Source organism: Homo sapiens, chromosome 4 (assembly GCF_000001405.40).
Source record: "Homo sapiens chromosome 4, GRCh38.p14 Primary Assembly".
In the NCBI taxonomy this organism is placed as follows: domain Eukaryota; kingdom Metazoa; phylum Chordata; class Mammalia; order Primates; family Hominidae; genus Homo; species Homo sapiens.
Window position 1 is genome coordinate 169,755,478 of NC_000004.12, and position 7,965 is coordinate 169,763,442.

General features: G+C 41.9%; 1 protein-coding gene and 1 long non-coding RNA gene across 2 annotated transcripts in view, besides 1 other annotated feature; one reads left to right on the forward strand and one right to left on the reverse strand.

Annotated features, from left to right (window-relative positions):
• HPF1 (histone PARylation factor 1) overlaps nucleotides 1-2,467 on the reverse strand; it is a 28,475-nt gene extending 26,008 nt beyond the window's left edge. The window contains exon 1 of the mRNA NM_017867.3: nucleotides 2,353-2,467. Coding sequence (NP_060337.2) covers nucleotides 2,353-2,400 — 48 coding nt within the window. The 5' untranslated portion in view covers nucleotides 2,401-2,467. The remainder of the gene's footprint in view (nucleotides 1-2,352) is intronic.
• Nucleotides 2,315-2,384: an enhancer, noted in NCBI's record as "active region_22145". NCBI's record gives its function as "activates an Ori minimal core promoter by ATAC-STARR-seq in GM12878 lymphoblastoid cells {active_cell/tissue: GM12878}" and the evidence as "EXISTENCE:reporter gene assay evidence [ECO:0000049][PMID:35858748]".
• On the forward strand, nucleotides 2,586-7,450 carry LOC107986240 (uncharacterized). Its single transcript, XR_001741529.2, has 3 exons — nucleotides 2,586-2,747; nucleotides 6,696-6,736; nucleotides 7,386-7,450. It is a non-coding gene; the product is annotated as an uncharacterized LOC107986240 (long non-coding RNA).
• Nucleotides 7,451-7,965: the final 515 nt, after the last annotated feature.

Sequence of the window (7,965 nt, forward strand, 5' to 3'; positions counted from 1 at the left end):
ATTTGTTACTGTATACTAGACTATTAACTGTGTTATCTTTGGCTAATGAGATGGTTTGTTTTCTTGTTGCTTTAAAAATTAGTGTATGCTCTCCTAAGGTCCTGGAACCAATCTCCGTCATTTACCGAATGGTTACTCTATGGCTACACAATATGGACCAACCTATATTCAATATTTTTAATGAGGAAAAAAGCTCTTGATTATATGCAGCATGATAGCCTTTTTATGAAGTTCAAAAACTAAGAATAAATATTGTTTAGGTATACACTCATGGGAGATAAGCCTATTTTTAAAAGGCAAGGGAAAACAAAATTCAGGATAGCTACACTGAAAATAATTGACAGGAAGAAGGCTGAACGGATAGGAGAGGAACACGTGTAGATGTAGAGCTATTGTCTGTTTCAGCTTTGGGATTGGGCAATGGGTTCACTGGTGTTTGTTACATTACTTAACATAAATAAGGTCAAAGACGATCATGAATATGGTAACAGTTTATTATGCCAAGGATTATAATGTGTCTGATTTATAAAAAAAATTACGTTCAACAAAAAGCCTGTTGAACAATGAATCCAAAAGTGAGTATCAATAATAGCAAATAGTAATAGTAAAGATAATATAATAGTAAAAACAAGTAGTTAAGTGATACTTACTGAGAACTTATTTTGTGCTGTTTCACTGTTCTAAGCACCTTCTGTGGATTAACTCATTTAGTCCTCAACTGTCTCATGCACTAGATACCATTAACCTCATCGTACAGCTGAGGAAACTGAGGTTAACCTCCCTACGTCCCTAACTAGGAAGTGGAAGAGAAGGGATTTAAACTCAGGTTTAAATCTGGGTCCACAGCAGATCCTCAACCACTTCACTATGCTGCTTCTCCAACATCAAATATAGAACAGTAGGAACATATGAAGTCCTGAGCTATCCTATCTTCTGTTTTCATAACTGTCTTTGTTCAGACGTTCAAAGACTGGCTCCAACTTAAGATGTTAGAAAAGGCTTAATCTGCCTTGCTGAAAGGCAGTTTTGCATAATAGTTAGGTTGCCTGGGTTGACTCCTGACTCTACTGATTTCCAACCTTAGGCAAGTTACTTAACCTCTCTGTGCTTTGTTTTCTCATCTGCAAAAAGGGCATACAGTGCCTATATCGGGGTTGTTACAAGGAATGTTATTATATGTAAAAATACACAGAACGGTCCTAGCACATAATATACAAATGCTGGCCATTACGGTTATAGTCTCTACAGACTCATCTTCATTTCTGTTATTGTATTTCTAGTTAAGCACATCACTCCACCAAAGCAGTTCTTCACTGCACCTTCAAAAAGAGAATTTTTTCAGCTGTGCCTTTACTCACACACTAGTTCAGCATCTCCATAGCCCTAACAACTAGGATTTAGAACAGCTGTCCCCTTCAGAGGCTACACTTCTTCTTTACCCTGGTCTTCCTAGAATGCATGACCCAATATGAAGGATGCCTATACCGATGGCCCTTTAACAGTTAGTTAAGCCCTCTAAGAATGTCTCACCCTGTCCGATTTATGACACTACCAGAGTAACTTTTCTAAAACTTTAGTTATCACAATGGCACTTCTTTCCTGATTCCCCTTATTGCTACTGTAGTGGTTACAGAACTTCCGAAATCGTAGTAAAGTATGAGAATGCACACACTCTCTCCTCCTCCCCTCTCAGTAGTGCTTTTATGATCAGGTCCCTCTTATTTTCCCATTTCCCTGGCTCCAGCCAAGCCGAACGCTCCGCTACGCCCAAACATCTCCTACAGTTTTATGTCTCAGAATCTTACTTCTCTGCCTTCAAAACCAATTTTCAAAGAGTTGTCTTAAAAGTCTTCTTTAACACCCCCTGGGACTTGTTAAATCCTCCTTCAGTGTTTCCATAGCACTTTCTACACACCAGCGTTATAATCCCAAACAAAAAAGTCACAGTAGAATGCATATTTGCTTGTGCCCCTCCTCCCCAGGCCGAGGGCTCAACAAGCAGCAGGAGCAAGCAGGTTGACCCCCAAATCCGCAGCGCCCCACAGAATGTCAGGTATGTAATCGGTTCCCAATCAATCTGGCTGGGCGAATGAACCATTGGTTGGCTTAATCCGTTTCCCCAGGAAATGCTCCAAGAGGAGCTGGGCAGAAGATGCAGAGGAGCTACTTTCCTGGTCCAACCCCCTGCAGAGCGCGAAACAGCGGCCCTGGGCAGGATCCCCGCAGCAAACCGCAGCCCCTGGACACACAGCAAGCTTAATAGTCACTGGATGAATGAAAAGCGCTGCCTCCTGGTGCCCTGGCTGTCACCCAAAGCGCCCCGCGTAGCCCGCACAGCCTTTCCGGCAGTACCTGCGGCCCCTCTCCGCCGGGCCTGCGCTTCCCGCCACCGCCGACCATTCTGCAGCTGCAGCGCCAGCAGAATTCCCCGATCCGCGGCCGCTTCCGAGCGCCGCCAACCGCTTCCGGGTTCAAAAGCCTCCAAGCCGAATTTCAGCGCCGCCCGGGCTCGCCAATTTAGGGGAAAGGCTCCGCCCATTCCCCGCCCCCTGAGACCTGGCACCGGACGCGTTGAGGCCCCGCCCACTCCCGTGCTGGGCGCGTGCAAGGAGCGTCTTCTGTCAGCGTAGTCTGCATCTAGGCTTTCTGGAGCATCTTCCAGGGTCGCTCCAGAGACCCCCCAGACTACTGAATCTGAATCCTTAGAGTGGTCCAACCTTCCTCTTCAGGTGTCTACTAGAGGCAAGGTTGGATGTATGCGGCTGTTCTCAATACAGCCCCTTCCTTGTTTTTTCTTCATTTATATTTACTTAAAATATTAATCCTTTTCTCCTTCTCCTCCATCCCTCTCCCTACCCTACTGTACGGTTATTGGCTTACACTAATTCATTCCCGATTGTCTCCAAGAAGGAAATAAATGTCTGTCGGTCTCTGTCTCTGTACCGTCGTCTTCTTGGTACAATTTGGACTGTTTTTCCTCTACACCGCTGATATGCAAAGTGTAGTCCCTGAACCAGCGGCCTCAGCATCCTGAGGGAATTTGTTAAAACGCCAAATCTCAGGCCTTACCCAGACTTACTGAATCAATATCTGCATCGCAACAAGATCCCCTGGTAATTCCTATGCACATAAAATTTGGAAGGCACAACTCTCAACTGATGTCCTTGGACCTCCTTCACATCCATCCTGGGAAGGTCTTATTCCTCATTCCTGAGATGAGTTCTCTATTTCCTCAATCTGGGTGTTCCTTTTTCTTGATTATATACCCTCATGTTGTGGAACATATCCGCCAATAGTTCCTTGAGAGAGGTTGCTGCCAGGTCTTTTTTCCCACAGAGTGTGCATGTCTGGAAATGTTTTTATTCTGGCTGAGCACAGTTCTAGGTTGAAAATAACTTTCACTCGGAATATTGGAGGGCTTGCTCCGCAATATTTTAGCTTCCAGAATTGTTAAGAAACTATGTCGTTATATTTCCTTCTCCTTCACAGGTCACTAAATTTCTTGATATGTAACCTGCTTTCCTTTCTGTTTTGTTTTGTCTCAAGAAGCTTTAGGATCTTTTCTCTGTTTCCAGTGTTTTTTGTTTTGTTTTGTTTTGTTTTGTTTTTTTTGAGACGGAGTCTCGCTCTGTTGCCCAGGCTGGAGTGCAGTGGTGCCACCTCAGCTCACTGCAAGCTCCACCTCCCGGGTTCACACCGTTCTCCTACCTCAGCCTCCGGAGTAGCTGGGACTACAGGCGCCCGCCACCACGCCCAGCTAATTTTTTTTTTTTTTGTATTTTTAGTAGAGACGGGGTTTCACCGTGTTAGCCAGGATGGTCTCGATCTCCTGACCTCGTGATCCGCCCTCCTCGGCCTCCCAAAGTGCTGGGATGACGGGTGTGAGCCACCGCGTCCGGCCTATTCCCAGTGTTCTAAAACACTATTGAGTGTCTTGGTTATGGGTCTTTTCTCATTCCTATCGACCAGTTTTTCAATCCTGAAACACATGTTCTTCAGTTATGGGAATTCTTCTGGTATTATTTATTTGATCATTTCTTCCCCCCCACCCCCCATCGTATCTCTTCTTTTTTGAAATTTGTTATTTAGATCGTGGACCTTCTTGGCTGATGTTTTTTCTTACCTGTCTGTCCTATTTTCTATGTCTTCATATTTTTATTCTACTTTCTCTGTGACTTTCTCAACTTAATTGGACAATTACTTAATTTCTTTATTATACTTAATAAAGATTAATTACTTAATTTCTGTATTATACCTTTATTTCTCAGTGCTCTTTTTATTCTCTGTTCTTTTATAGCATTACATTATTTTTCATGAATATAGCTCCTTTTATCTCTGAAGATGTCAATTATAGCGTTTTTAAAAATGCTTTCTACGTAACTCTGCATTGACTTTGATTCTTTTGAGTCTTTTTTGGTTGTTTGTTTGTTTACATTTGGTTCCTGTTGTTTCTGCTAGAGGCATTCTTCATCTTGTGTGGTGATCCTTGCTGTCAATTTATATGTAAAAATGAGGCTCTAAAAAGGTGCTTTGGGGACATAGGCAAGGCTTGTTTACTGCTGGACAAGGTGTAAGATGATGGGGAAAGAACCAGCTGTTTATTTTCTTCTAGAGAGTAATCTTCTAATTACTCACTTTGAGAATATACAGACTTCTTGGAGCCCAATGCAGGAAGGAGGCTGGGAGTCTTAATAATTTCATTATATGCACTGTATTAGTCGGGGTTCTCCAGAGAAACAGAACAAATAGGTATCTATTTATCTATATCTATACCTACATCTGTATCTAGCTATCTATTAGCTCACGTGATTATAGGGGTTGAGAAGCTGCATAATCTGCTGTCTGCAAGCTGAAGATCCAGAAAGCCCATATTGTAGTTTGAAGCCCTGATAACTGGGGAGCCAATGGTGTAGATTCCAGTTCGAGTTTGAAGTCTTGCAAACCAGGATCACCAAGGGCAGGAAAAGATCAAAGATTCAGTTCAAGAATCTAGCAGAGAGAGAGTGAATCCTCCCTTCCTCTACCTTTTTGTTTTATTCAGACCCGAATGGATAAGATGATGCCCACCCACATTGGTGAGGATAATCTCTTTTACTTAGTGCCCCCGCAGACACTCAGTAATACCGATTAACCAGGTATCTGGGCATCCTGTGGTCCAGTCAAGTTGACACATAAAATTAACTCTCCACCGCGTGTGGCGGCTCATGCCTGTTTCCCAGCACTTTGGGAGGCCAGGGAGGGTGGATCACTTGAGGTCAGGAGTTCGAGACCAGCCTGGCCAATGTGGTGAAACCTCATCTCTACTAAAAATACAAAAATTAGCCAGTCATGGTGGCACGTGCCTGTAGTCTCAGCTACTTGGGAGGCTGAGATACAAGAATCACTTGAACCCGGGAGGCAGAGGTTGTAGTGAGCTGAGATCACGCCACTGCACTCCAGCCTGGGCGACAGAGTGAGACTCCGTCTCAAACAAAAATAAGATAAGATATAATTATGCATACCTTCACTTAACACCACTGTTTCATAATAGCATTTTTACCTTCAGCTGTGTCTGGTGTCCCTGAATCCATATTCTGGTTCCATATCTCCCAAAAGAAACAATCTTCAGGTTGGGAATGGAGGTTAGAGAATGTTTCCCTGACTTTGCCAGGGGAGGAAATCTAGGAGTCTTAACTGCTTCTGGGACTTTTAATGGTCTCTTTTCAGCTCAACCCACTGAAGAGGTATGGTACTTCCAATTCCTGAGCCATTGTGAGGTTCTGCAGTGTCAGTGAGCTTGCTTCCAGGCATCATCTCTGAAAACACTTGGGTTTTCTCTGGGAAGTCCATATGTTCACCAGTATATTAGCTCCCTAAAGCTGCCATAACAATTACCAAAAACTGGGTGGCTTAAAACTATGGAAATTTATTCCCTCACAGTTACGGAGGCTAGAAATAAAAAATCAAGGTGTCAGGAGGTTGGTTCCTTCTGGGGACTGAGGGACAATCTGTGCCATGCCTTTGCCTTAGCTTCTGGTGACTGCTGGCAGTCCTTGGTGTTCCTTGGCTTGCAGATGAATCACTCCAATATCTGCCTCTGTCATTACGTGTTCTCCCTGTGCATCTGCCTGTGTCTAACTTTCTTTTTGTAAGGACAGCAGTCCGTTAGATTACGGCCCACCCTAATCCAGTATCACTTTATCTTTTTTTTTTTTTTTTTTTGAGATGGAGTTTCACTCTGTTGCCCAGGCTGGAGTACAGTGGTGCCATCTTGGCTCACTGCAACCTCTACCTCCCAGGTTCAAGCAATTCTCCGGCTTCAGCCTCCTGAGTAGCTGGGACTACAGGCACGCACCACCAGGCCCAGCTAGTTTTTGTATTTTTAGTAGAGACAGGGTTTCACCATGTTGGTCAGGCTGGTCTTGAGCTCCTGACCTCAAACGATCCACCTGCCTCAGCCTCCCGGAGTGCTGGGATTACAGGCGTGAGCACCACACCTGGCTGTCACTTTATCTTATTTTGATCACATCCACGCAGACCCTATTTCCAAATATGGTTACAGTCAATGTATCCTTTGGGGGGATGCAGTTCAACCACATCAACTGATTTCTAAAGTTTTGTGGCATTTTTCAGTTGTCTCTTCTCCAGTTTTCTTTGTTTTTATGAGTATATGGTCCATCTGTCCCCCTTTTTAACCTTCTTTATCTTTGTTTTAGTGAGGCTTCTTAAGGAGTGGAGGAAAGTGGATGTTTTCAAGGTATGTTAAGTATGTTAACTGGAGGATTTATTGTTGCTATTTTTCAGTTGAATAACATCAGGTTGGCAGTTGTAACCTGTAAAACTGCACTTATTATATGCAATTTCAAGTTCAGAACTAAAACTTTGCTCTGAATAATAATTTGTAACCATCTTTTATAGAATGAAATTTCTATTTTAATTCAAACATTTGACATTTAATATATTTTATCCTGTTCATATGTTTACTCCACAGTGATTTTGAAGGAATGGGTAGAGTTGACCAAATTTGGTATACTTCTTCAGGTTATCAGTGTCTGTCATTTTGAAACAAAGTTATTATTAATAAATGTTTTATATCTAGTACTTACTATGCAATACTATTCTTTTCTAATATTTATTTTTAATTGACAGATAATTGTGTATATTTATAGAATACAATGTGATGTTTTGATATATATATACACACAGTGGAATGATTATGTCAAGCTAATTTACATATTCATTACATCAAATACCTATTGTTTTTTGGAGTGAGAACATTTCAAATCTACTCTTCTAACAATGTTGTCATATGTAATACATTATTATTAACTATGTTCACTATGTGGTGCAATAGATCTCAAAAACTTATTCCTTCTGTCTAACTAAAACTTTGTACCCTTTGACAGTATCTCTGCAGTTCCCATTTCCAACCCCCAGCCTCTGGTAACCAGCATTCTACTCTCTACTTCTGTAAGTTCAACTTTTTTAGATTCCACATATAAGTGAGATTATGCAATATTTGTCTTTCTGTGACTGGCTTATTTCACTTAGCATAATGTCCTCTAGTTTCACCTACATTGTCAAAAATGACAGAATTTCGTTTGTTAAGGCTGAATAGTATTCCATTGTATATGTACCACATTATCCATTCATCTGTTGATGGACACTTATGTTGGCTATTGTGAATAATGCTGCAATCAATATGGATGCCTAGACATCTCTTTAACATGTTGATTGCAATTCCTTTGTGTATATACTCAGGAGTGCAATTGCTGGATCATATAGTAGTTCTAGTTTTAGTTTTTTGAGGAACCTCCACACTGTCATAATGGCTGTGTTAATTACCACTCCCACCAACAGTGTACAAGAGTTTCCTTTTTCTTACATTCTCACCAACCCATGTTATCTTTGATAATGTCTATTGCTATTGTAACAGGTGTCAGGTACTATCTCATTGTGGTTTTAATTTGTATTTCTCTGATAACT